Here is a 25,550-nt window from a genome sequence, read left to right as displayed (position 1 = left end):
TTCCAGACTTTAATCAAGGAGCTTTCTTGGCCGGCGCAGTGGCTCACGCCTGTAATCCCAGCACTCTGGGAGGCCAGGGTGGCAGATCACTTGAGGTCAAGAGTTTGAGACTAGTGTGGCCAACATGGTAAGACCCTGTCTCTACTAAAAATACAAAAATTAGCCGGGCTTGGTGGCCCGTGCCTGTAATCCCAGCTACTCAGGAGGCTGAAGCAGGAGAATCACTTGAACCTGGCAGGCGGAGGTTGCAGTGAGCTGAGATCATACCACTGCGCTGTGGTGACAGAGCGAGACCCTGTCTCAAAAAAAAAAAAAAAAAGACTTCAATCAGGGAGCTTTCTGGATGCTTCGGGGCCAGAGAATGTCGGTCATTGCCCGTGGGGAGCAGTCACGTCTCTTAGGGGACCCTGGGCAAGAAGTGCTGATGGGGGCAGTTTGCTGTATGAGTCCAGTCCTGTCATTTTCTTTCCTAAGTCACCACCCCGTCCTCACAATGCTCGGGTCATACCAGGCAAGCGAGGACAGATGGCCTGGTTGGTGGCTGAAGTCCTCCTGCAAGACACTGTGGAGATCTGAACTCCATTACCTTTCCCCTAGCAAGAGGGAGAAGGGTGGGCAGGTGGTAACAGGTGGTGGCCAGGAGCAGGGAGAGATGGGAATATCATAGTATTGGAAATGATCTATGGGAAAGGATAATCTGACTTGTGTGGTTTAATCCTTGAACTTTGTAGGTTGTGTTTGAGGTCAGGGACCTTGTCTTTCCCATTCAATGGGGACAATTGGAGGATGAGGATCATCTCTCCACACCCTGCTGGAGGCCTCCCCTCTTTACACATTCACCCCCTCCACAGAGCAGGGCTCCCTTCCCACAGCGAAGACCCCAGGTTAGGCCCAGGGCAGGCAGGAAACCTCCAGATGGGGAGCCCCTGACCTGGGGACATGCTGTCTGGAGCTAATGAGGCCATGGAAACAGCCTGGTTTAACTTTTTCCCCAATCTCTGGGTCTAAAGGCCTCCCACAATCCCCACTTCATCCCCTAGCCATTCCCCCCTGCCCCTCAACCTGGTCCAAAAGACACCCTAAGGCCATTGGTTTAATCTTTTATTTGGAACAAAGGAAAAAAGGACTGACACCAGTTTAGCCTTTGAGTGTGCAGAGCTCTGCCCTCCCTCCCACCCCTCAGCCCCAAATCCAAGATTTCATAGCCCTAACACCCACCCAAGCAGCTTCCCTCACACATGCCCTTTGTTTTCTTCCTCTCTTCTATGGTTCCTTAGGGAAAGGAGCCTTCTTTAGGGATGAAAAGCTAACTACAGCCCAGTCTGGCCTCCAGCAGCCCAGGGTCAGCTCAGCCTCCACTGGAGGCGAGGGAGGAGGGCAAAGGGCATGGGAGAGGTAGGGCTGCCCTCCAGGAGCCTTCCCCTTCCCTAGGAGCCAGTCAGGATTGGGGAGGAAGGCAGAGGGGTCCTAGGGAGCTGTCACATAGAGGAAAAGGGGCTGGGAGTGGGGATGACAAGAAGTACAAAGAAAGAGAAAGTTTGGGGAGATGGATAACAAGCTCAGCTGTGTCAGTGATGTGGAGGGGAGGTATGGTGGGGGACCAGCCATGGCCCTATCCAACCCCAGGCTCCACAGGCCCCAAATTGGCTTTGCAAATCCAAACATTTTAAGGAAGTGGTTTAGGGATGGAAGAGAAACACGGTAGAGGTCTGTGCTGTGGATTTTCATCTAGGGTGGTGGGAACACCAGAGATGTCTCCTCTGCCATTGTTTTAGTTGGCTCCTGGACCTCATCCCAGCAGAGGGAGGGTGACTGTCAGCAGGTCAGTCCCACCGCCACTGTCCCCCTCGCAGTGGGCCTCTGTGTCTCAGGCCTGGCCAGGCTCCCTGCCCCTCAGAGCTCCTCGTGGACCCGCTCCTCGTCCTCATCTGACTTCAGCTTGAGCTCGTCGACTGTGATCTTGCCGTCCTGGTTGCGGTCCTGGTTCTGGAACATGTCTCCTATGGTTTTCTCAGGGTCCTGCCCAGGCATGAGGCGTCCTTTGCCCTCACTCACTTGAGCCTTGATGAAGGTGGAGAACTGGGGCAGGGGAGAGCCGGGGGAGCGGGCAGTGAGGGTCATGGCCTTGGGAGGGGCAGGGGCCCCGGGTGGAGGCCAGTGAGTGCTTTCTTTTTCTTCTTTTTTCCCAGGCTCCCCCGCACCCTGTAACTCAGGAAGGGCTGGGAAAGGCACTGGTGCTGGGGTCCTGGTGGGGGCTGGGGTGGAGGCGTGGCATGGGGATAGTCTGTGACTGGTCTCAGGTAGGGAACAGCCTGCATGTGTGCCCAGGAAAAAGCAGGGACAAGGAGCCTGAGGCGTGGGACTCAGCGCAGGCAGGAGCACCAGGGCGGGTGGGCAGTCCGGACGGGGGACGTCTTCTTCCTCGATGCTTCCTGGGTGCGGGGATTGCGTGGGCATGGCTATTAGGACTGAACCTTCACCCACCTCCTCCGGAGGGACCTCGCCATCCTTGTTGAGGTCCATGTCTTCAAACAGGTTGGCAGGAGGGTCCTTGTGCCACACAAACAGGTAGCCTGTGGGCAGCCCATCCTCCCGGGACACCAGCTCCACCTCAAACAGCAGCACAGCACTGCCTGGGACTCCCCGGGCTGGAGGGAGGGCAGGAGAGAAGGGAGGGGTCCTAGTCAGGCCGGGGTCTGGGCCTGGCTTCACTGTTTCCCAGCCCACAGGCCAGTTTCCCCTCCTGGGGCTGGGCTGGAGAGTGGGGCATGGGATGTTTAAGGAGCCATCCTGAAGGCATTCCTGACTCCTCCCACCAGTCATCAGACCCACAGTGGGCAGGAGCAAAAGGGACAGATGCCAGTCAGATTACGGTCTCGGGCCGAGCGCAGTGGCTCATGATTATAATCCCAGCACTTTGGGAGGCCAAGGCGGGTGGATCACCTGAGGTCAGGAGTTCAAGACCAGCCTGACCAACATGGCAAAACCCTGTCTCTACTAAAAATACAAAAATTAGCTGGGCACGGTGGCAGGTGCCTGTAATCCCAGCTACTCGGGAGGCTGAGGCAGGAGAATCACTTGAACCTGGGAAGTGGAGGTTGCAGTGAGCTGAGAGCACACCACTGCACTCCAGCCTGGGTGACAGAGTCAGACTCCATCTCAAAAAAAAAAAAAAAAAAAAAAAAAAAAAGATTATGGTCTCAGCCCCTCACCTCCACTCTCCCCGTGGGCCAGGTGCGGGGGCACGATGAGCTGCCGCCTCTCTCCCACACACATGCCCTGCAGGCCCGTGTCCAGGCCTTCGATCACCTTGTTGGCCCCGAGAGTCGCCTCCTGGGGGGCCCCGTAGTCATGCCTGGGGGAGAGCAGATGCCCAGGTCAGCAGCCACCCTGTCCCCTGCCAGCGCACACCCCTCTCCCTCTGAGGTGGGCCCAGAACAAGCCCTCAGTTCCGGAGTTACTCCCACTGGTGACTTGGGCCACGCAGCAGAGTGCAGGGGCCCAGCTGTGCAGACGTGGGGTTCCCTTCTCATCTTGCCTCTGCCCCCTAAAGTGTGGCCTCGAGGGCTCATGGCTCCCTGCGTCAGTTTCCCCTCTGTGAAATAGAAAGAGCAGTTCTCCCCCAACTGTTGGCTTCACCTTCCCTTCCCCTGCGAAGCAGAGAATTTCATCTCCTCGACATGCTCCGAGATGGGGACTTACAGAAAGCAGCAAGAGGTTGAATGCTCCCCTGGCGCTCGAGGACCAAGAGGGAGGAGCAGGCGTCGGGGGTGCACTGAGGAGGACTCCCCATGCCTGTGCCCACCCACCTGCCCAGTCCCGGCCCCCCCCCGGACCCACGAGGTGAACAGCTGGGTGCCGTCCAGCAAAGAACAGTTGTAATGGTATCGAACAAAGTCCCCAAGCTTGGTGGTCTCATTGCAGGTCTCAGATGGCCGGGACAGTGTCCTGATTTCCACCACATCCGCAGGGTTGTGGAAGTCAATGACATGGACGTTGAAGATTAGCACGGCAGAGCCAGGGATCTTGTCTCCTGAGGCCAGAATGGGGGAGTGTGGTCAGCTCAGAGCACTAGGAGAGGCTACTTGAGGTCTCTCCATGGAGGTCCCCAGACCTGATACCCCTTCCCGACCCTGAGGATCCAAAGGAGGATGGGACGGGATGTTTGTCCAGAGTCAATTCTAACAAACTTTCACTGGGGCAGGGGGCAGGGGAAGGCAGCTTTCCAGTAAGAAAGCCCTTTTCCACTCACCGTCTTGCAAACTCCCAGTAACTTACCCTGCGGATCAGCATGGCTTGCCCACTTGACAGGTGAGGACACTGAGGCTCCCAGCACAGCTGGGTCCTGGGGGTATGCTGGTTCTGTTTTTCCATAACCACCCTCCCTCCCCAAACTTGGCTGCCCTTCTCCACTGCGGAAGGGGCGAAGTGGGGCGCTGCCCTGGAGGAAACCGATGGAGTCTGTGTGGCAGGAATCAGATGGGGTGACCAGATGTAAGCTGCATGCATGTTTTTGTGATGAGAGGGGCCGAGCGGTGCCTGGAATCCCACTGTGGGAGGGGGTGGCCTAGACACAATGGGCAGTTCGGAGGAGGAGCTGAGGTGGTGGCTGGGGAACGCCCCTACCAGTTCCATTCTCCCCATAGGCGAGGTGCGGGGGGATGGTAATTCTCCGGCGTTCCCCCATGCAGGCACCCTGCAGCCCCTGGTCCATCCCGGGGATGATGTAACCCTGCCCGATATAGGTATTGTAGGTGTGGTTGCGGGAGTAGCTGCAATACAAGGCGGGAGGGCCAGGAAGGGAGTCAAAGGGGCCCTCCCCTTCCAGGCAGCTCAGAGTGACCCCCAGCTTCGTCCACGTTTCACCCAGCCCCCGCCCTCCCACCTCAAGACCCTCCTGACCTGGAATCGAAGAGGGTGCCGTCCATCAAGGAGCCATTGTAGTGGTAGCGCATGAAGTCCCCGGCCCCGGCTCTGCGGACACAGCCGGGGGGGAGCTCCAGCGTCTCTAGCTGGACAGCGTCCTTCGGGTTGTGCACGTCAATCAGGAGGACGTGAAAGACCAGCGAGGCCTGTGGGGGGATCACTGTCCCTGGGGAAGGGATAGGGCTTGAACCATAAAATTGGGGAGCAAGCCGAGGCTCCTTCTTGACTCAGGAAGGCCCAGTGGGCACCATGCAAGACACTAGCCCCACTCTCCAGAGCCCTTTCCCGCCCATCAGCAGCCCTGCTTCTTGCTCCTCCAGTAAGACCTGAGCTGGGTTTTCCCCAGGGCCACCACCGGCTCATACTGAGCCTTCGTGTGAATCAGAATAAAGCACCCCTTCTTTTTTTTTTTTTTTTTTTGAGACAGAGTCTCGCTCTGTCACCCAGGCTGGAGTGCAGTGGCGCGATCTCGGCTCACTGCAAGCTCCGCCTCCCGGGTTCACGTCATTTTCCTGCCTCAGCCTCTCCGAGTAGCTGGGACTACAGGCGCCCCCACCACGCCCGGCTAATTTTTTTGTATTTTTAGTAGAGACGGGGTTTCACCGTGGTCTCGATCTCCTGACCTCGTGATCCTCCCGCCTTGGCTTCCCAAAGTGCTGGGATTACAAGCGTGAGCCACCACGCCCGGCCAAAGCACCCCTTCTTAGTAGCACCAAGGGTAGATTTCATCCCACCTTGAGTCCTTGGTTGGATGCCCTCGTGCAGTATACAACCTGAGCAACTGTATGTGGAGGCCTGGTTTTTCCCTCTTCTGCGGAATTTCCCCTTGTGTCCTTGCCCACCCTCACCATAGCCTTTCTCGCCATAGGCCAGGAATGGAGGGATGATAATCTTCCTTCTCTCTCCAGGACACATGCCCAGCAGCCCCTGGTCCATGCCCTTGATCAGCCAACCAGAGCCGACGTAGGTGTCATAAGTGCCGCCCTTACTGTAGCTGCAGAAAATGAGGTGGAGGTGGGAGAGGCAGGCTGGGCCCCGGATTCCCGCTCCCCATGCCACAGTCCCCAGTGCCTCAGGGCTCCCCTCCAGCCCCTCACCTGGTGTCGAAGGAGGTGCCGTCCAGCAGGGTGCCATTGTAGTGGTAGCGGACAAAGTCGCCGTCCTGGACCATGCGGGGGCAGTGGGGCGGGCGCAGCAATGTGCTCACCTGCACGGTGTCTTCCTTGTTCCACACATCCAGCAGAACCACATCGAAGTAGAGGGTGGCATCCGGTGGAATGAGCCCCGCTGTGAGAGCGCAGCAGCGTGGAGGTCTCAGAGTTCTGCTCTGCCAACCACGATCCCAGCCAGGGCCCTGTTATTCCCCTTCCTCTCATCCCAGCACCAAGAGACCCAAACCAGGGACAGAGATGCCACTATTTTTGTTTTTTTTTTTTAAGAGATAGGGGGCCAGACACAGTGGCTCATGCCTGTTATCCCAGCACTGTGGGAGGCCAAGGCAGGTGGATGGCTTGAGCCCAGGAGTTCAAGACCAGCCTGCGCAACATGGCGAAACCCCATCTCTACTAAAAATACAAAAAATTAGCCACGTGTGGTGGTGTGCACCTGTAGTCCCAGCTATTTGGGAGGCTGAGAGGGAGGACTGCTTGAGCCCAGGAGGCTGAGGTTGCAGTGAGCCGAGATCGCACCACTAAACTCCAGCCTGTGCAACAGAGTGAGATGCTGTCTCAAAAAAAAAAAGAAAAAGAAAAAAAGAGGGGTTTTGCTCTGTCACACAGGGTGGAATTCAGTGGCATGATCATGGCTCACTGCAGCCTCCCGGGGTCAAGCAATCCTCCCACCTGAGCCTTCTGAGTAGTTGGGACTACAGGCACACACCACCACACCTGGATAATTTATTTTATTTTTTGTAGAGACGAGGTCTCACTATGTTGCCTAGGCTGGTCTGGAACTCCTGGGTTCAAGCAATCCTCCCACCTCGGCCTCCCAAAACTCTGGGACCATATATGTCAGCTACTGCCCCAGCCAGAGCTGCCACTCTTCATACTGCGTGCACAGTGTGACATTGGGCAAGTCACTCCTCATCTCCGCACTTCAGTTTTCTCACCCCAGGATCCCTGATTCTGCCTCGTGGTCTCCTCCACCCCCGGCCTGTGCCCCAGCCCTTCTCACCCAGGCCGATGCTCCCATAGCCCAGGTGGGGAGGCACAATGAGGCGTCGCCGCTCGTTGACACACATGCCCATGAGGCCTCGGTCCATGCCAGTGATGAGGCGCCCCACACCCACCACGATGGCCACCAAGGTGTTGCGATCATAGCTGGGGGGGGAGGGACAGATGGGATACAGTGACCTCAGACACACACACACTGCCCATGGTGGCACAGATGCACAGGTGTGCCTGCACACACGCACACAATCCCCCCTCCCTATAGCCAGGTGTGGATACGCACACACACTTCTCACCTCCTTTTCAAGTCCCCCTCCTAGGTCGGCCGTGACGCCCACCTTAAGAGAACGGACTGTTGTGAAAGGCAAGTCCCTGAGGAGGACAAGGGCTGCTATTGCCCTGGGACGGGGTTGGGTGGGATGCCCGGGCCTGATGGCTGCTACTATTTGCTGACAGCAAGTGGGGAGTGGTACGTACAGCACGGAGGGGCAGAGGAGCATTACTATATGGGATTAAATGCTTGGCATTTTACATTCCGTATCTTCTTTGTCTCCCCTGTGAGGTGGGCATTCTTGTTCTCATTTTTCTTAATGAGAGCAATGGAGACTTGAGAGACTCAGTGCCTTGCCCAAGGTCACACAGCTAATATGTAGTCAGCTGAGTTCTAAAATTTGCCATTATACTATTGGCTCTCCAAGAAAAGACGGGAGAGCAGAGGTGGGGTGGGAGCTGGTTTCACATTTTGAAAAGGCCTATTCTACAATCCTGGCTAACACAGTGAAACCCCGTCTTTACTAAAAATACAAAACATTAGCCAGGTGTGGTGGCGGGCGCCTGTAGTCCCAGTTACTCAGGAGGCTGAGGCAGGAGAATGGCGTGAACCCGGGAGGCGGAGGTTGCAATGAGCCGAAATCGTGCCACTGGACTCCAGCCTGGCGACAGAGTGAGACTCCCTCTCAAAAAAAAAAAAAAAAAAAAAAGCCTATTCTAAAAGTGCCATGGCTTTTGTTTGTTTTTAGTTATACACTTTTAATTAATGTATTTATTTTTACTTATACATATGTATTTTTGGAGATGGAGTCTCGGCTCTGTCACCCAGGCTGGAGTGCAGTGGTGCAATCAGCTCACTGCAACCTCCACCTCCCGGGTTTAAGCGATTCTCCTGCCTCAGCCTCCGAAGTAGCAGCTGGGATCACAGGCATGCACCACCATATCTGGCTAATTTTTGTATTTTTAGTAGAGAGGGCTTTCGCCATGTTGCCCAGGCTGGTCACTCTTGGCCTCAAGTGATCTGCCTGCCTGGGCCTCCCAAAGTGCTGGGATTACAGGAGTGAGCCACTGTGCCCAGCCAATTATATACACTTTTAATTTATTTTAAGTTTTCAGAAGTAAAGTGAGGATGGGAGATTTTTTTTTTTTTAATTGAAGGGGCCATGGGTTAAGAAAGTTTTCTGGCCGAGCGCAGTGGCTCACGCCTGTAATCCCAGCACTTTGGGAGGCCGAGGCGGGCAGATCATGAGGTCAGGAGATGGAGACCACCCTGGCTAACATGGTGAAACCCCGTCTCTACTAAAAATACAAAAAAAATTGTGGAGGCGCCTGTAGTCCCAGCTAATCGGGAGGCTGAGGCAGGAGAATGGTGTGAACCCAGGAGGCGGAGCTTGCAGTGAGCAGAGATCGCGCTACTGCACTCCAGCCTGGGGGACAGAGCAAGACTCTGTCTCAAAAAAAAAAAAAGTTTTCTAAGTTGTGTGGGCGCGGGGGCTCACGCCTGTAATTCTAGCACTTTGGGAGGCTGAGGAGGGTGGATTGCCTGAGCTCAGAAGTTTGTGACCAGCCTGAGCAACATGGTGAAACGCCATCTCTACTAAAATATGAAAAATTAAGGCTGGGCGCCGTGGCTTACGCCTGTAATCCCAGCACTTTGGGAGGCCGAGGTGGGCGGATCACGAGGCTGGGGTGGCATGTCTGACTGTGTGACACGTAGACAGACAGGGCCTCCGCAGGGAGCCATGCCCTACCCCCAGGTCCAGCTGGCTGTCTTCTTATAATACCCACCCGCCTTTTTCAAGACCAGTCTGGCCAACATAGTGAAACCCCTCTCTACTAAAAATACAAAAAAATTAGCCGGGTGTGGTGGTGTGCACCTGTAATCCCAGCTACTCGGGAGGCTGAGGCAGGAGAATCACGTGAACCTGGGAGGCAGAGGCGGAGGTTGCAGTGAGTTGAGATTGCTCCATTGCACTCCAGCCCAGGCAACAGTGTGAGACTGTGTCTCAAAAAACAAAAACAAACAAACAAACAAAAATTAGCTGGGCGTGGTGGCATGCGCCTGTAATCACAGCTACTTGGGAGGCTGAAGCAGGAGAATTGCTTGAACCCAGGAGGTTGCAGTGAGCTGAGATGGCACCACTGCACTCCAGCCTGGGCGACAGAGTGAGCCTCCAGCTAAAAAACAAAAAGTTTTCCAAGCTCAACACTCATGAGCTGGGCTCCCAGAGTCCCCATCAGGGATGACATCCCCTAAATCCCAACCCCTGCCTCACTCCTAGCAGTCAAGGGCTCAGGGCTGCACTTCTGGCTACTACCCTATATCTGAATTTGCCCACCAAGCAGACAGGTTTTAAGTCTGGACTGTTTCCTTCTCAGTGTTGTTATGAAGGCTTAAGCTCTGCATTAAGTTTCTACAAGTTCCACAGCATCAGGTCATATGGTTTTCCTCAGGGTCAATGTTAATGTGTGCTGAACTGGCTGGAGGACTGCCAGGCCCTGTGAGAAGCCTACGTTCATTCATCCATGTCCTTGGAGTCCTAACATCAGCCTTAGCAAGTAGGTCCTGTTTTTGTCTCCACTTTTCAGATAAGGAAAGTGATGCCTAAAGAGACAAAATTCTCTGTCCATGGTCATAGCCTGGATTTGAACCAGGGTCTTGGGACTCTTGGAGTTTGTAGGCTTACCCCAATATATGCCTGCCTCTAAAGTCATGGCCACTAATTTCCTGTGGGCTGAGTTGTGTGTTTCAGAGGAGGGTCTAAGAAACACTGACTTCTTTCAGTGTGCTGTGGGGTCTGTGTGTAACTGGGACCCTAGATTTACCCCTGAGGCTGGCATACAGCCCTGCCCTGTCCCCGCTAACAAAAGTGGACTTGCTGGGGCAGACCAAAGGCCTGGGTCAGACCAGGAGGCCACCTTACAAACCCCAAGGCTGGCAAAAATGGGCGGCCTGTGCCTCTGGCCTGGTGTACCTAAAATGGAGAGAGATGAGGGTTCCAGGAGAACCAGAGAGGGAGGAATGAAATTCCTCCAAGGAGCCCAGGGTGGCATGTCCGACTGTGTGACACGTAGACAGGGCCTCCGCAGGGAGCCACGCGCTACCCCCAGGTCCAGCCGGCTGTCTTCTTATAATACCCACCAGCCTTTTTCCCTGCCCACCAGCCGCTGAAAACTCCCACCCCCTCCAAAAAAAAGTTCTATTCCCTCTTCTCTGACCACAAAGGCACTGAAAACAGTGGAACCAGAAGGGGAGTCAGGGTGGGTGGAAAGGTACGGGGTCCAGGCTGATAGACCATCCCAGGGTTCTTAAGCAGCAGGGACCACCCCCTTCCCCCCAACACTGTAGATCAGAACACCCCTCTCCATCAGGTCATTACATACAGCCCTGGTAACTACACAAGGCAGTTCACCTTGATTATCGAGTCCTTTCCGGGATGTGGAGAGCTTGTGAGAAAGAAATGGGATCCTTTGAGAAGTGAGGGTTTGGAAGTGGGGGCAGGAGGGTATCTTTGGGGAGATGGGTGTCTGGGAGGCCCCAGGGGTGCTGTCTAGGGTTAGAGTATTGGGATGCAGAGCTTAAAAGAGGCAACAAGGAAACAGGACCCCGGGTTCAGGGGACGGAGTGGTGAATCCGGGGGCGCCCAACCGGGGTTACCTTGAATCAAACTTCTTGCCATCTTCAAAAGTGCCGTTGTAGTGGTAGCGCACAAAATCCCCCATCTGCACTTCCCGGGGACAGGCCCTGGGGATGTGGTACCTCTCGATGACCACATCTTCCAGGGGGCCCCCGGCCGGGCTGGCGCGGCCCAGCCCCCTCCCCACGGCCTGCACCACCAGTAGCAGCAACTGCAGCAGGGGGAGCCGGAGGAGGCTGTGGCTGGGGGGGCCCGCGGGGAACATGGTGCCTGGAGTTGGGACCGCCGGCAGTGAGGGCGAGCGAGGGAGTCGCCACCAACCTCCTTCCCCCCGCCTCCCAGAACTGGCTCCCCCTCTTCCTGTCCTCTTTCCCTACCCCCGCCCTGGCTGGTCCACGTGGAATGGGGGCTGGGAAGACTGAGCTGGCCTGGCCGGGAGGAGCGGGGGAGGGGGTTGCAATAGGAGGAGGGGGCCAGGCTGAGTGTGTTAGAGTCTGAGGGAGGCACTACAAAGAACTCTAGGTTCCCCCTCCCCCCATCTCCATCCCTGGCTGCGAGACCTGGGGCCTGGCCAGGGAGAGAGGCTCGGGAAAGATGAGAACTCTGAGTGGACACCAAAGGAAAAAAAAAAAAAAAAGTTCAATGACTTTTTCCGGAGCCCCCGGGTCCTAAAGCCGGGCGGAGATGAACCTTGCTTCTTTCGCGGGCACTTCGAATTCTAGTCCCCTCCAGGTGGGTGGTGAAGCCGCGGAGTGTGAGAGGCATCTCCGTGCTCATCCGTGACCCCAGCTGTACTCCAAGGGAAGGCATCTCCAGGGAAGAGCAGCTTGGTCCCGCAAAAGCTGGACTGAAAGAAGGACTTTGTGACTTGGGATGTGACGGGCACGGAGATGGAGTGGGGGGTGGTGGCAGCGCAAGGTGTGCAGGTGACAGCAGGTGTGTGCCTCCGACGTGGGCGGGGGAGACACTCGGAGGGTGCAGGAGGGCGCAGCGACGGAAGGCCCGGCTCCAGGGCTTCCTTCTCGTATGGGCAGCGCAGAGGAGGCGGCCCTCACTCAGTGTCCTGATCTCAGGCGGGGGCACTGTTTGCATGGGGAGGGGCTTCCTGGGCTTCCCATCTCTGGCGGGAAGCGCTCCCCGACGCATTCTCTACCTAGGGGACACCCCCAAGGCAGGAGCCCGGGCCGACGGAGAGGACTTAACGACACTATCGGACCCTCTGGGAAAAGAGGGGAGACGTCGTGACCCAGGCCCCGCCCCACCTTGCCGCCTCGTGCCCGGCGCTAAGACCCAGCGGGCGCGCCGCCCGCCCGGGGCCCGGCCCTGTCCCCTTCCGTCCGCGGGGCAGCCAGCTCAGCTCCGGAGAGCCGGCGGCGCGGCGGGCATGGCTCGGGTGGCGTGGGGGCTGCTGTGGTTGCTGCTGGGCAGCGCCGGGGCGCAGTACGAGAAGTACAGCTTCCGGGGCTTCCCGCCCGAGGACCTGATGCCGCTGGCCGCGGCGTACGGGCACGCTCTGGAGCAGTACGAGGGAGAGAGCTGGCGCGAGAGCGCGCGCTACCTGGAGGCGGCGCTGCGGCTGCACCGGCTCCTGCGCGACAGCGAGGCCTTCTGCCACGCCAACTGCAGCGGCCCCGCGCCCGCGGCCAAGCCCGATCCCGACGGCGGCCGCGCAGACGAGTGGGCCTGCGAGCTGCGGCTCTTCGGCCGCGTCCTGGAGCGAGCCGCCTGCCTGCGGCGCTGCAAGCGGACGCTGCCCGCCTTCCAGGTGCCCTACCCGCCGCGGCAGCTGCTGCGTGACTTCCAGAGCCGCCTGCCCTACCAGTACCTGCACTACGCGCTGTTCAAGGTGGGAGCCCGCCCCCACCCGGGGACCTGTCTCGGGCTGGGCGTCGTGGCTCCCCACAGATCGGTCGAAGGAGCGTTATCTTCACCCAAGGCACGAAGCCCGCCGTGCGCTCGGGGCCGCGAGCTCCGGTCTTGCTGACCCGCTCCCCCACCCCCTACCCCCCGACCAGGCTAACCGGCTGGAGAAGGCGGTGGCGGCGGCCTACACCTTCCTCCAGAGGAACCCGAAGCACGAGCTGACCGCCAAGTATCTCAACTACTATCAGGGGATGCTGGACGTCGCCGACGAGTCCCTCACGGACCTAGAGGCCCAGCCCTACGAGGTGGGGTGGAGGGTCAGGAGGAGGCTTGTAGAGGAGGGCTAGTAGAGGAGGGGAGATGTTGGGGGCGCCCTGACTCCCCCTGCCACGCCCCTTCCAGGCCGTGTTCCTCCGGGCTGTGAAGCTCTACAACAGCGGGGATTTCCGCAGCAGCACGGAGGACATGGAGCGGGCCTTGTCAGAGTACCTGGCAGTCTTTGCCCGGTGCCTGGCCGGCTGTGAAGGGGCCCATGAGCAGGTGGACTTCAAGGACTTCTACCCGGCCATAGCAGGTATCTGCCACCCAGACCACGGTGGGCGGTCCTCTCACCCACAGGGCCCGGTAAGGCAGATGTCCCCTTCATGCACGTGGAGCACTGCGAATGCGGAGGAGCCAGCCGGGAGGAAGGCCTTGTCTGTTGAGAAAGACGCTGGGTGCAGGGGCCCCAGCTGGGAGTGTCCAAGGGGCTGGATCAGTGAGTAGAGGCAGTGACATCCCTAAAGGGTTTGGGAAGCTTGGGTTCATAGGCCTTCCAGGCAGAGGGCAGTGCAGATGCAAAGGTGCAGCGGTGAGAAGTAACCCAGCAGATGTGTGCAGAAAGCAGTTGATAACCAGAAATTACACCTAGTCTTGGGATCTCTAACCCTGGGGTCCCTCGAGCAGGGGCAGAAAGGACTGTACTTGGCCAGGTGTGGTGGCTCACACCTGTAATCTCAGCACTCTGGGAGGCCGAGGCAGGCAGATCACGAGGTCAGGAGTTCAAGACCAGCCTGACCAACATGGTGAAACCCCGTCTCTACTGAAAGTACAAAAATTAGCTGGTCGTGGTGGCGGGCACCTGTAATCCCAGCTACTCGGGAGGCTGAGGCAGGAGAATCGCTTGAACCTGGGAGGCGGAGGTTGCATTGAGCCCAGATCGCGCCACTGCACTCCAGCCTGGTCGACAGGGCGAGACTCTGTCTCAAAAAAAAAAAAAAAAAAAAAAGACTGTCCTTTAGCTTCTCTGTTTGGACTTCTGCCCCATTTCTGGACCTCACCTGCTGCTCTCCCAGAATGCCCTGGCTCCCTCTGGCTTGGGGTGGTGGTTGAGTGGCAGGGGTGGTGAGTCAGCCCAGCCCACAGTCATCTTCCTCACCATCACTTGTCATATAGTATGCCAAGCACTTTACAGACATTCTCTCCTGTGATTGCAACAGCAACACATTTTCTGGACAAGCAGCTTGGCTTAGTAGGCAGAGATTGGATTTAGAGTCTTCTCCACTGGGGGGACGGAGATGTTCATTGCAATGCCAGCCTCTCACTGCTGCCTCCCACCCTCAGATCTCTTTGCAGAGTCCCTGCAGTGCAAGGTGGACTGTGAGGCCAATTTGACCCCCAATGTGGGTGGCTACTTCGTGGACAAGTTCGTGGCCACCATGTACCACTACCTGCAGTTTGCCTACTATAAGTGTGAGCCCCCTGGGTGGGCTGGCTTGGGCAGGGGACGAGGTGATAAGGGAGAGGACTGTATGGGAGCCTCCCAGAGTTGTGGGGAGCTTTCCTTCAGTATTGAGGACCCTGGGTGATAGGAGGAAAGTCTAGGGGTGGTGGGAATATGGGGAAGGCACCCTGGGAGTCTGGGGCAGGTGAGAGGCTTCTGAGTGAGAACAGACAGCAGCCTCAGGGAGAAGAAGAGGGTCTTTTGGGCAAATGACTAGACAACCAACAACTGCAGAGCACTTGACAGTTTATTTTTATTTTTGAAACGGAGTTTCACTCTTGCCCAGGCTAGAGTGCAGGGGCACGATCTCGGCTCACTGCAACCGCTGCCTCCCGGATTCAAGTGATTCTCTTAGCCTCCTGAGTAGCTGGGATTATAGGTGCCTGCCACCACACCCAGCTAGTTTTTGTATTTTTAGTAGAGACGGGGTTTCACCATGTTGGCCAGGCTGGTCTTGAACTCCTGACCTCAGGTGATCCACTGCCTCAGCCTCCCAAAGTGCTGGGATTATAGGCATGAGCCACCATGACCGGCCAACACTTGAGAGTTTATAAGTCACTTTATCTTATGTGGTCCTTTCACCAACACCATGCAGCTGGCATTACTGGACCGATTTTTCAGATGGGGAAACTGAGGCTTATAGGGCAAGGGGCTGTTGGTCTTATGACTAATAAAAAGTGGCACCAGGACTTGTGGCTCTCCTCACTGGAGAGATCCTGGCATCCACTGGGGCTGGAATGGACAGCCTCCAGTGTTCCTGCAGCTCGGAGATGCCAAGATTCAGACAGAGCCAGGAGTCAGAGCAGAGGGGCTGAGAACCCAGGGGCCAGGAGACCCTTCCTGGGTACACATAGCAGAGAGGCTAAGGGCCTCTAATTCACTAGAGCCATCATTCTCCAGCTGTGTGAGCTTGAGCAATTTATCTAACCTCTCTGTGACTCAGATTTCTTGACTGTAAAATGGGGATGACAGTAATAGGTAGGCATGGCTGGGCACAGTGGTTCACACTTGTAATCCCAGCACTTTGGGAGGCCCAGGCAGGCAGATGGCTTGAGCCCAGGAGTTCGAGACCAACCTGGGCAACATGACAAGACCCCGTGTCTACAAAAAATACAAAAAGTTAGCCAGGCATGGTGGCGCGTGCCTGTAGTCCCAGCTACTGGGGAGACTGAGGTGGGAGGATTGCTTGAGCCCAGGAGGCAGAGGCTGTAGTGAGCCGAGATCACACCACTGCACTCCAACCTGGGTGACAGAACAAGACCCTGTCTCAAAACAAACAAAAACATACAAAAAATTAGATGGGTGTGGTGGTGCCTGCTTGTAATCCCAGCTACTCAGGAGGCTGAGGTGAGAGGATCACCTAAGCCTGGGAGATCAAGCTTGAGGTGACCATAATTGCACCACTGCACTCTAGCCAGGGTGATAGAGTGAGACCCTGTTTCAAAAACAATAAAAAGACAATAACAGTGAGGCTTAGATGAGTTAGTCAGGGCCTGGCATAGGGTAAGTGCCCACTACATGCTAGCTGGCATTATGCTTGGGTGGGATAAGGAGCCCATTAGGTATTCTGGGAGGTGGCTGGGTAGCAGGGGTGCTGGACTGAACTGGAAGATGGAGTTGACTCTGAAGGGGAAGTGCCAGAGCAATTCCTCACCCCTGTCCTGCTGCAGTGAATGATGTGCGCCAGGCTGCCCGCAGCGCCGCCAGCTACATGCTCTTCGACCCCAAGGACAGCGTCATGCAGCAGAACCTGGTGTATTACCGGTTCCACCGGGCTCGCTGGGGCCTGGAAGAGGAGGACTTCCAGCCCCGGGAGGTGGGCACTGCTTTCTGGGGCACTTGCTGGATATGCACTTTGTAAAAAATGAACTCCTGGCGGCCGGGCGCGGTGGCTCATGCCTGTAATCCCAGCACTTTGGGAGGCTGAGGCGGGTGGATCACGAGGTCAGGAGATCAGGACCATCCTGGCTAACACGGTGAAACCCCGTCTCTACTGAAAAGAAAAAAAAATTAGCCAGGCATGGTGGTGGACGCCTGTAGTACCAACTACTCGGGAAGCTGAGGCAGGAGAATGGCGTGAACCTGGGAGGCAGAGCTTGCAGTGAGCGGAGATCGCGCCACTGCACTCCAGTCTGGGTGACAGAGCGAGACTCCGTCTCAAAAGAAAAATAAATAAATAAATAATAAAAAATAAACTCCTGGCTTCCATGGAAGGCAGGATGGGAAATGGAAAGAAAGAATATGAGTTGAGGTTAGAGTCCTGGCTTCAGAGCCCAGCCCCACTGCTGTGTGGTCCTGGGAAGACCATGGCCCTTTCCTAATCTATTGCCTCACCTGCAAAATGGCAGTGATACTGCCACCTCACCAGCAGTGTCCAGACGAGGGAGGTATGAAGGTACACATCCACTCCTACCTGCTCCCCTCCCTACCTTCATTACCCTCACTGCTGACCTTTGTCCCTCTTTCCCAGGAACACCCTAGGTAACCAATGGAGGAAATCTGTTGGAGTTGAGGGCCAGGCTGGCAAATATGGGGCACATGGTGCCACTCCTGCCTTCCTTGTCAGTGGCAGACATTGCTAATCGATTGAGGGACTCTTTGTCACCAAACTCTCAGAATCCTTAACCCAGTGTTCCAAGCAGCCACGATGATCTGATGAGCTTGTGAGCTGATACCTATTCTCTGATCCTTGAGCTAGAAGAGGGCCAGTGGGCCCAGATCCTAGGAGCCCTGGCTTCTTGCCATCTGGCAACAGGGTATGGCTCACCCCCCACCCCGTCCTTCCCTCCTTCCAGGAGGCCATGCTCTACCACAACCAGACCGCCGAGCTGCGGGAGCTGCTGGAGTTCACCCACATGTACCTGCAGTCAGATGATGAGGTGAGTGCCTCCTGCTTTCCAGGATTGGGCTGTGATGGGGACACCTTGGACCTTTTCCTGGGGCCACCAGTGTGCCAGAATTCAGCCCCAGCCCCTGGTGGTCAGCTGTCGTGAAGAAGAGAGGTTTGCCTGTTCCTTGTCTAGACTGTCCGTTCCTTCCCCAGCCTTAGTATTCTCATGTCCTCCTTTTGTACATGTCTCAATCCTGTTCCTCCCAGGCCCAGCTCACATGGTGCCTCCTCCAGGAAGCCCTTGCTGCATGCCCTGGCTCTTTGTTCTGGGCTAGCAGTGCCCACTCTGACCTGTGTGCCTCCCTGGCCACCTGTGGCCTGGACCTGGGTGATTGCAGCCCTCGTCCATCTCAGCCCTGGGCCCCTTCTCCAGCCAGTATCCAGGAGAACCGCACTGCAGGACACAGGGCCACATTATTCCCTGTTCTCCCACATCCTGCACAGAGCCTGGGCTCAGAAACTGAGTTTGAATGAACCAGTGAATGAATGAATGCAGGACCTCAGGACAGAAGGACCGTATTGTATTACATTGATTTATTTTATTTATTTATTTATTTTTTTTTTTTGAGATGGAGTCTCGCTCTGCCGCCCAGGCTGGAGTGCAGTGGTGTCATCTCAGCTCACTGAAACCTCTGCCTCCCGGGTTCACACGATGCTCCTGCCTCAGCCTCCGGAGTAGCTGGGATTACAGGCGTGCACCACCACGCCTGGCTAATTTTTGTATTTTTAGTAGAGACAGTGTTTCACCGTGTTGGTCAGGCTGGTCTCGACCTCGTGACCTCATGATCTATCTGCCTCGGTCTCCCAAAGTGCTGGGATTACAGGCGTGAGCAGCCGCACCCGGCCCTATTAACATTGATTTCAAGTGAGGGTTTGACAGCCTTAATTTCTCTGAGGTGTTGCTGCTCAGTGCTCATTTATGTATCCTCTCCTTTGTTCATGCCCCCACGCCCCCACCCATCCAACCCCAGAGGAGGAGGGCAGAATCTACACCGTCAGCACCCAGGATGAGGAACTAGCCAGACCTGGCTCCATTACTTACCAGTTGGGTGGCCTCCAAACAAGTGTCAGGCAACCTCTCAAGCTTCTGTTTCTTCATCCATTGAATGGGGAGAATCATGCCCATCTCACATTGTTGTGGTGAGAATAACACAAGATCTGGCCGGGTATGGTAGCTCATGCCTGTAATCCCAGCAATTTGGGAGGCCGAGGCAGAGGGATCACCTGAGATCAGGAGTTCAAGACGAGCCTGGCCAACATAGTGAAACCCTGTCTCTATTAAAAATACAAAAATTACTCAGGTGTGGTGGTGGGCACCTGTAATCCCAGCTACTGGGGAGGCTGAGGCAGGAGAATGGCTTGAACCAGAGGCAGAGGTTGCAGTGAGCCGAGATCGCGCCACTGTACTCCAGCCTGGGTGACAGATTGAGACTCTGTCTCGAAAAAAGAGAAAGAATTAAGTGAGATCAAGTATGTTTTTTTGTTTGTTTGTTTTTGAGACAGAGTCTCGCTCTGTCGCCCATGCTGGAGTGCAGTGGCGTGATCTCAGCTCACTGCAAGCTCCGCCTCCCAGGTTCTCACGCCATTCTCCTACCTCAGCCTCCCAAGTAGCTGGGACCACAGGCGCCTGCCACCACGCCCGGCTAATTTTTTTTGTATATTTAGTAGAGATGGGGTTTCACTATGTTACCCCGTATGGTCTCGATCTCCTGACCTTGTGATCCACCCACCTCGGCCTCCCAGAGTGCTGGGATTACAGGTGTGAGCCACCACACCCGGCCTCAAGTATGCATTTTTCTTTTTTTTTTCTTGGAGACAGAATCTCACTCTGTCACCCAGGCTGGAGTGCAGTGGTGCGATCTCTGCTCACTGCAACCTCCACCTCTTGGGTTGAAGAGATCCTCCTGTCTCAGCCTCCGAGTAGCTGGGATTACAGTCATGCGCCACCATGTCCAGCCAATTTTATTTTGTATTTGTAGTAGAGACAGGGTTTCACCACGTTGGCCAGGCTGGTCTCAAACTCCTGACCTCAAGTGGTCCGCTTGCCTCGGCCTCCCAAAGTGCTAGGTTTACAGGCGTGAGCCACCGCTCCTGGCTGAGATCAAGTATGTAAAGCACTTGATAAAGAGCCAGTACCTGGTAGGTGCACAGTGAATGACAGCCGAGTCTCACTCTGTCATCCAGGCTGGAGTGCAGTGGTGCAGTCTCAGCTCATTGCAACTTCCGCCTCCCAGGTTCAAGCGATTCTCCTGCCTCAGCCTCCTGAGTAGCTGGGATTACAGGCGTGTGCCACCATACCCAGCTAATTTTTGTATTTTTAGTAGAGACATGGGGTTTCACCATGTTGACCAGGCTGGTCTTGAACTCCTGACCTCAAATGATCCACCGACCTCAGCCTCCCAAAGTGCTGGGATTACAGGTGTGAGCCACCACGCCTGGCGTATGGCAGCCATTTTGACGGCTGTCTCTTATTTCCTGTGGTTTGCCAGACACCAGACTAGGGGCTGGAGTAAGTTAGTGAAAGTCATGGTCCTGGCGGGGCACGGTGGCTCACACCTGTAATCCCAGCACTTTGGGAGGCCAAGGCGGGCGGATCACGAGGTCAGAAGATTGAGACCATCCTGGCTAACACGGTGAAACCCGGTCTCTACTAAAAATGCAAAAAATTAGCCAGGAGTGGCGGCATGCGCCTATATTCCCAGCTGCTGGGGAGGCTGAGGCAGGAGAATGGCGTGAACCCAGGAGGCAGAGCTTGCAGTGAGCCGAGATCATGCCACTGCACTCCAGCCTGGGCAACAGAGCAGACTCCGTCTCAAAAAAAAAAAAAAAAAAGGAAGTCATGGTCCCTTTCACGTGCCGCTCACAGTCTAGTGGGGGAAGCACAAACTGCTGCTGGAGAGGGCAGCACACGGCACCAGGGGAGGTCTCCAGCCCAGCCAGAGTCACCAGCAAGGGCTCAGCCTGGAACTGATGCCTGGCTTTGGAGGGATTAGTGCGGGCTACGCAGGCACAGGGGACAGCAGTAGTTCCTGGCAGGGAAACAGTATGAGCAAATATTATGCATGGACTAGCAATATTCTTGCCAGGGTCTTTATGCTTAAAAGGTGGGGCTGTGCAGGGGCGATGTTTATGCTGACACCAAATTCTGCTGGTGGTGCCCTATGCAGCCACTCAGGGAGGGGCAGTTTGGGAAAAATCCTCAGGACTGTCTCATTAGATCTTGAGACTGGGGAGGGGGAGGGGCTTTGGGGACCGAGAGATGGGATGGGAAGTCCCATTGGCCAGGAAGGGAGCCCATATGGGTTTGGGCGTACTGTGACCCGGTTTCTCCCACAACCGTGGCGCTACTCTAGATGGAGCTGGAGGAGACAGAACCGCCCCTGGAGCCTGAGGATGCCCTATCTGACGCCGAGTTTGAGGGGGAGGGTGACTACGAGGAGGGCATGTATGCTGACTGGTGGCAGGAGCCGGATGCCAAGGGTGACGAGGCCGAGGCTGGTCAGTGACACGAGTCCTTGGGGGGTGGGGATGCAGCCTGGGATGGAGGTTGGGGACAGATGCATTCACCCGCTGGGCTCCGGAGCCCAGGGTGTGTGTGGGTGCTGGGGCCCATCCTCCAGGGGCCTCCAGCCTGTTGGCAACCCCTGTCCCGCTTGGGGGTGGTGGTGCAGCATCTCCCCTGGAGCTGGGACCAGCTGAGACCTGTCCGGGGGAGCCTCACCCCACCTCCCATCAGGACAGCACCTGGACACCCATTGGGAGTGGGTGGGGGAGCAACCCCAGTGCTTTCTCCTTTCCTTTTCAGAGCCAGAGCCTGAACTCGCATGAGAAGGGGACACCCCACACCGCTCAAGCTTGGGAAGCCTGGTGCCGATGGCCCCACCCTCACCAGCCTGGGCAGCAGCAAGAACTATTTATTAAAAACTTAAGATGGGCCAGGTGCGGTGGCTCACACCTGTAATCCCAGCATTTTGGGAGGCCAAGGTGGGTGGATCACTTGAGGCCAGGAGTTCAAGACCAGCCTGGCCAACATGATGAGACCTCCGTCTCTACTAAAATACATAAATTAGCCGGGTGTGGTGGCAGGCGCCTGAAATCCCAGCTACTCAAGAGGCTGAGGCAGGAGAATCGCTTGAACCTGGGAGGCAAAGGTTGCAGTGAACTGAGATTGCGCCACCGCACTCCAGCCTGGGCGACAGAGCGAGACTCCATCTTTAAAAAAAAACAAGACGGGCCGGCACGGTGGCTCACGCCTGTAATCCCAGCACTGAGAGGCCGATCACTTGAGGTCAGGAGTTCAAGACCAGCCTGGCCAACATGGTGAAACCCCATCTCTACTAAAAAATACAAAAATTAGCCAGGCATGGTGGCACACACCTGTAATCGTAGCTGAGGCAGGAGAATCGCCTGAACCCAGGAGGCGGAGCTTGCAGTGAGCCGAGATCGTGCCACTGCACTCCAGCCTGGGCGACAGAGTGAGACTCCATCTCAAAAAAAAAAAAAAAAACTTAAGATGGACACAGCTGACTGGACCCCCATCCTGCCTCACCCATGGGTGCTGCACCCCAGACCCATCCTGCCACTTCTATGTCTCTGGACCACAGGATGGTGGTGGCATTGCAGGTTGGCAAGTGGGCTGATGGGGTCCGCCCTCCTCACTGCTGAGCTCCTCACCTGGACAGTCTCCTGGACAAGGAGTTTCCAGCTGCTGGCTGGAGTCTCAGGCCAAATTGCAGAGGGTCCTCCAGGGTCCTGAAGAGCACTGGACTAAGAGTCTAGTGGTTCCAGGGCCCTGACCAGTAGGTGCTCAATAAATGTTTGTTGTTGAATGAGTCATAGTACCCGTGGTCGTCTCCCTGGAGCTCAGTTGTAAGGGTACAGGTCCTTCCCTCCCTCTCTCCGCACCTGTGTCCCCTCATCTGTAAAATGTGGGGCGGAGGGGCACCATCTGGGCCCTGGCTGGTCCTCTGCACCTGGGGCTGAAGGATGTGTGAGAGAGGACGCAGTGTGCAGATCTGCCACCAGGGGGCGGGAGAACACAGTCCTCCCCAGGCGGGAAGACGATGGTTTCAGATTTCTAAGATGGGAAGTCCTGTATTTTCCTAGTTCAGGATCACTTCCCTCGGGGAATGTGGCAAGTGTGGGAGGGGGCCAAGGACATTTGCTCCTAGTGTTTACTTTGTGGGCATTTACTGACCCAGTTTCCTTAGAGTCAGAGGGAGCTGGCCCTGCCGCTGCCCTCTATTCCCACATTCCAGAGCCGGGTTGGGGCCCCAGCTTAGCAGGCAGAGGAGCCCCAGGGATGTGGTTTGATTACTTTGGGATTCTTGGGGTGCAGTGGGACAGCCAGATCCCTCTTGACCGATTTTACATGGGCTCCCAGGGGCAGTGGGTCCCGGTGTGCAGGGTGTGCAGGCAACGATGGTGCCTGGTGGCTACCTCCTAGCCTGGGACTCACCGCCAAACCCCACCCCTATTCCACAGCAGGGAGGTGGGGGCAAAGGGGGTCTGTCTGGGAGGAACCCAGGGCCAAGGCCAGCCAGGTGACAGTTCTGCCCCATATTTCCAGCCTCCCGGGGGCAGGGCGGCAGAGTTGTCTTCCCACTTGAAGGTAGAGTCAAGGCTGGGAAGCCAAGTTCTCACTGCCCCACCCCTACTTTCTCTCCAGATGTGCCAGGTGATCTGGCCTGGGCCCTGTCCACCTCTGTTCCTAGGAGGACTCCCTGTCCCACTCCAAGCCCCTCCCCTAGGCCTTTGATCGGGATGAGAGCTGAAAGGGCAGAGTCTGAGTCTGGAAAAAGGGCTGGGTCAAGGCTGGGGGCTCAGTGACCTCACTCCTTCCTCCCATAGGTGGGTCTTCCGGGGAAGCACATCTGCAGTGGTAGCGTTTCCTGACCGCCTCCAGGTGCAGGGTGGCCCCGCCCCACCCCACCTCTTTCAAGCTGCAGTGTTGTCAGGTCCACCAAGGCCCAGCCCCTGTTTCTGGGAGGGGCTGGCCCTTCAGAGGGTGGGGAGCGGGATGTGCTGTGGCGTGTCTGCGCAGACGTGAACCTGCCATGAGCACAAGCTTTGGAATCTGGACGGCTGGGTGTGGGTCTGAAAGTGCCCGTGTGCTTGTGTGTTGCGTGAATGTGCGGGTCTGGGTGTGAATGTGTGCCTGCCTGCGTGCATGCATGAATGTGGTTTTTTTTTTTCTTTTCTTTTTTTTTTTTTGAGACAGAGTCTTGCTCTGTCGCCCAGGCTGGAGTGCAGTAGCGTGATCTCAGCTCACTACAACCTCTGCCTCCTGGGTTCAAGCTGTTTTCTGCCTCAGCCTCCCAAGTAGCTGGGATTACAGGCACCTGCCACCACACCTGGCTAATTTTTTGGGGTTTTTTTTTGTTCTGTTTTGTTTTGTTTTTGTTTTGAGACAGTGTCTCACTCTGTTGCCCAGGCTGGAGTGCAGTGGCATATCCTCGCTCACTGCAACCTCCGCCTCCCAGATTCAAGCAATTCTCCTGCCTCAGCCTCCCAAATAGCTGGGATTACAGGCATGCGCCACTGTGCCCGGCTAATTTTTATATTTTTAGTAGAGATGGGGTTTCGCCATGTTGGCCAGGCTGGTCTTGAACTCCTGACCTCAGGCAATCCACTCGCCTTGGCCTCCCAAAGTACTGAGATTATAGGCGTGAGCCACCCCGCCTGGCTAGTTTTTGTATTTTTAGTAGAGACGGGGTTTCACTATGTTGGCCAGGCTGGTCTCAAACTCCTGACCTCAGGTGATCCACCCACCTCGGCCTTCCAAAGTACTGGGAATAAATGTGTTTTTAGAGGGATTCATTCACTCAATCAGCACATATTTATTGAGCACCTACCATGTGCCAGGCATGCTGAGGTGCTGGGCATAGAAAAATGAACAGATCAGGCCAAACGCCGGACCCACATGGGCTTACATTCCAGCAGGGAGGCAGGCAGAAAACAATAAATGTCAGAATGTATGAATTAGATAGGTATGGCATATATGGAGGTGGGAAAAGGATCTGAGAGCTGAGGGGTTGCAGTTGAGGTGTGTTGGTAGCTGTGCAAGTGCGCATCTGAGAGTGGCGTCTCCGAGTGTGTGGTGAAGCAGTGTATGTATTAGGGAGCAGGCCCACCCTCTCTAGGCACCATTCCTGTGCAGCCCTTTAGCCCAGGCCACTGGCTCAGCCTTGCGTTACTCAGCTCTCCTTTCCCAGGGAGCCGCCAGCCCCTCCCGCCTCCCCTGATGCCAGCATCTCCCCATTGCCCAGCCAGCTCTGCAAACCGGTGAAACCTACTCCCAGCCAGTCCCAGTGTGGGCCCTCTGGGGCCCTCCAGCTCATTCTCCTGACTCCACCCATCCAGACAGCTTCACCTCCTCCACACCTCTGTCTCAGGTAGCCACCTCCCCACCCGCCCCCACACCCCACCCAGCACCTCACCAGTCCTAGAATCTTGGAATAATGGGTAGGAGGTTAGGGATGACCGAAAGGGCTCTGGGGAGGCTGGCCTCATGCAGCAGGACCAGACTCAGATGCCGCGGGAAGACCCCATCCTAAAGAAATCAGAGCTACTATGATGTCCTAAGTGCCTGCTGTGTGCCAGGCACTTGGGAGCTTATTTTTTGCGACAGGATCTTGCTCTGTCACCCAGGCTGGAGTGCAGTGACAATCACGGCTCACTGCAGCCTCCACCTTCCAGGCTCAAGCCATACTCCCACCTCAGCCTCCGGAGTAGCAGTGACCACAGGCACGTGCCAGCACACCCAGCTAATTTTTTTGATTTTTGGTAGAGACAGGGTCTTGCTCTGTTGCCTAGGCTGGTCTCAAACTCCTGGGCTCAAGTGATCCTCCTGCCTTGGCCTCCCAAAGTGCTGGGATTATAGGAATGAGCCACCACCAGGCCTCTTGACAAATTATTGATAACCCTCAAAACAGTCCTGAGATGTACATGTCAGTTCCCCTCTGCTCCAGGTGGGGCTGAGGAGTGAGAAGCAGTTTGTCCAGGGTTCCTTGAGGTGGTTGGTGACTGAGCTG

At 56.2% G+C, this 25,550-nt stretch overlaps 2 protein-coding genes across 8 annotated transcripts, besides 11 other annotated features; one reads left to right on the top strand and one right to left on the bottom strand.

The window, feature by feature from the left end:
* On the bottom strand, nucleotides 1,089-11,298 carry FKBP10 (FKBP prolyl isomerase 10). 4 transcript variants are annotated; one of them, XM_011525099.4, is made up of 11 exons: nucleotides 11,023-11,298; nucleotides 7,099-7,244; nucleotides 6,024-6,213; nucleotides 5,775-5,920; nucleotides 4,903-5,092; nucleotides 4,627-4,772; nucleotides 3,841-4,033; nucleotides 3,539-3,595; nucleotides 3,213-3,355; nucleotides 2,485-2,648; nucleotides 1,089-2,079 (listed from the first exon to the last, which is right to left on the bottom strand). In XM_011525099.4, exons 1-11 carry the CDS (start codon nucleotides 11,265-11,267, stop codon nucleotides 1,894-1,896), a joined length of 1,806 nt encoding a protein of 601 aa, XP_011523401.1. In that variant the 5' UTR covers nucleotides 11,268-11,298; the 3' UTR covers nucleotides 1,089-1,893. The 4 variants fall into 4 exon arrangements, with proteins under 4 accessions (XP_011523401.1, NP_068758.3, XP_011523402.1 ...); NM_021939.4 differs by lacking the exon at nucleotides 3,539-3,595; XM_011525100.3 differs by lacking the exon at nucleotides 7,099-7,244.
* Nucleotides 1,709-2,305: an enhancer, noted in NCBI's record as "H3K4me1 hESC enhancer chr17:39978249-39978845 (GRCh37/hg19 assembly coordinates)". NCBI's record gives its function as "activates a minimal SCP1, AML or CMV promoter by ChIP-STARR-seq in primed H9 embryonic stem cells {active_cell/tissue: H9 hESC(primed)}" and the evidence as "EXISTENCE:reporter gene assay evidence [ECO:0000049][PMID:30033119]".
* Nucleotides 2,306-2,904: an enhancer, noted in NCBI's record as "H3K4me1 hESC enhancer chr17:39977650-39978248 (GRCh37/hg19 assembly coordinates)". NCBI's record gives its function as "activates a minimal SCP1, AML or CMV promoter by ChIP-STARR-seq in primed H9 embryonic stem cells {active_cell/tissue: H9 hESC(primed)}" and the evidence as "EXISTENCE:reporter gene assay evidence [ECO:0000049][PMID:30033119]".
* Nucleotides 3,824-4,735: an enhancer, noted in NCBI's record as "H3K27ac-H3K4me1 hESC enhancer chr17:39975819-39976730 (GRCh37/hg19 assembly coordinates)". NCBI's record gives its function as "activates a minimal SCP1, AML or CMV promoter by ChIP-STARR-seq in naive H9 embryonic stem cells {active_cell/tissue: H9 hESC(naive)}" and the evidence as "EXISTENCE:reporter gene assay evidence [ECO:0000049][PMID:30033119]".
* Nucleotides 4,736-5,647: an enhancer, noted in NCBI's record as "H3K27ac-H3K4me1 hESC enhancer chr17:39974907-39975818 (GRCh37/hg19 assembly coordinates)". NCBI's record gives its function as "activates a minimal SCP1, AML or CMV promoter by ChIP-STARR-seq in naive and primed H9 embryonic stem cells {active_cell/tissue: H9 hESC(naive and primed)}" and the evidence as "EXISTENCE:reporter gene assay evidence [ECO:0000049][PMID:30033119]".
* Nucleotides 5,168-5,217: an enhancer, noted in NCBI's record as "active region_12173". NCBI's record gives its function as "activates an Ori minimal core promoter by ATAC-STARR-seq in GM12878 lymphoblastoid cells {active_cell/tissue: GM12878}" and the evidence as "EXISTENCE:reporter gene assay evidence [ECO:0000049][PMID:35858748]".
* Nucleotides 8,496-8,995: an enhancer, noted in NCBI's record as "H3K4me1 hESC enhancer chr17:39971559-39972058 (GRCh37/hg19 assembly coordinates)". NCBI's record gives its function as "activates a minimal SCP1, AML or CMV promoter by ChIP-STARR-seq in primed H9 embryonic stem cells {active_cell/tissue: H9 hESC(primed)}" and the evidence as "EXISTENCE:reporter gene assay evidence [ECO:0000049][PMID:30033119]".
* Nucleotides 8,996-9,497: an enhancer, noted in NCBI's record as "H3K4me1 hESC enhancer chr17:39971057-39971558 (GRCh37/hg19 assembly coordinates)". NCBI's record gives its function as "activates a minimal SCP1, AML or CMV promoter by ChIP-STARR-seq in primed H9 embryonic stem cells {active_cell/tissue: H9 hESC(primed)}" and the evidence as "EXISTENCE:reporter gene assay evidence [ECO:0000049][PMID:30033119]".
* Nucleotides 11,984-12,093: an enhancer, noted in NCBI's record as "active region_12172". NCBI's record gives its function as "activates an Ori minimal core promoter by ATAC-STARR-seq in GM12878 lymphoblastoid cells {active_cell/tissue: GM12878}" and the evidence as "EXISTENCE:reporter gene assay evidence [ECO:0000049][PMID:35858748]".
* Nucleotides 12,234-12,723: a silencer, noted in NCBI's record as "silent region_8500". NCBI's record gives its function as "represses an Ori minimal core promoter by ATAC-STARR-seq in GM12878 lymphoblastoid cells {active_cell/tissue: GM12878}" and the evidence as "EXISTENCE:reporter gene assay evidence [ECO:0000049][PMID:35858748]".
* Nucleotides 12,353-22,349, top strand: P3H4 (prolyl 3-hydroxylase family member 4 (inactive)). Of its 4 annotated transcripts, none has more exons than NM_006455.3 (8): nucleotides 12,353-12,848; nucleotides 13,018-13,170; nucleotides 13,268-13,439; nucleotides 14,468-14,596; nucleotides 16,298-16,443; nucleotides 17,423-17,506; nucleotides 20,871-21,015; nucleotides 21,323-22,349. In NM_006455.3, the coding sequence occupies exons 1-8, from the start codon at nucleotides 12,387-12,389 to the stop codon at nucleotides 21,343-21,345; spliced, it is 1,314 nt and encodes a 437-aa protein (NP_006446.1). In that variant the 5' UTR covers nucleotides 12,353-12,386; the 3' UTR covers nucleotides 21,346-22,349. The 4 variants fall into 4 exon arrangements, with proteins under 4 accessions (NP_006446.1, XP_047291093.1, XP_006721703.2 ...); XM_047435137.1 differs by having other exon boundaries at nucleotides 13,268-13,622; XM_006721640.5 differs by lacking the exon at nucleotides 20,871-21,015.
* Nucleotides 23,435-23,941: an enhancer, noted in NCBI's record as "H3K27ac-H3K4me1 hESC enhancer chr17:39956613-39957119 (GRCh37/hg19 assembly coordinates)". NCBI's record gives its function as "activates a minimal SCP1, AML or CMV promoter by ChIP-STARR-seq in naive H9 embryonic stem cells {active_cell/tissue: H9 hESC(naive)}" and the evidence as "EXISTENCE:reporter gene assay evidence [ECO:0000049][PMID:30033119]".
* Nucleotides 23,942-24,448: an enhancer, noted in NCBI's record as "H3K27ac-H3K4me1 hESC enhancer chr17:39956106-39956612 (GRCh37/hg19 assembly coordinates)". NCBI's record gives its function as "activates a minimal SCP1, AML or CMV promoter by ChIP-STARR-seq in naive H9 embryonic stem cells {active_cell/tissue: H9 hESC(naive)}" and the evidence as "EXISTENCE:reporter gene assay evidence [ECO:0000049][PMID:30033119]".

Source organism: Homo sapiens, chromosome 17, assembly GCF_000001405.40.
Source record: "Homo sapiens chromosome 17, GRCh38.p14 Primary Assembly".
In the NCBI taxonomy this organism is placed as follows: Eukaryota; Metazoa; Chordata; class Mammalia; order Primates; family Hominidae; genus Homo; species Homo sapiens.
The sequence above is the reverse complement of the archived record's forward strand: the minus strand, read 5'-3'. Positions and strand labels throughout refer to the sequence as shown.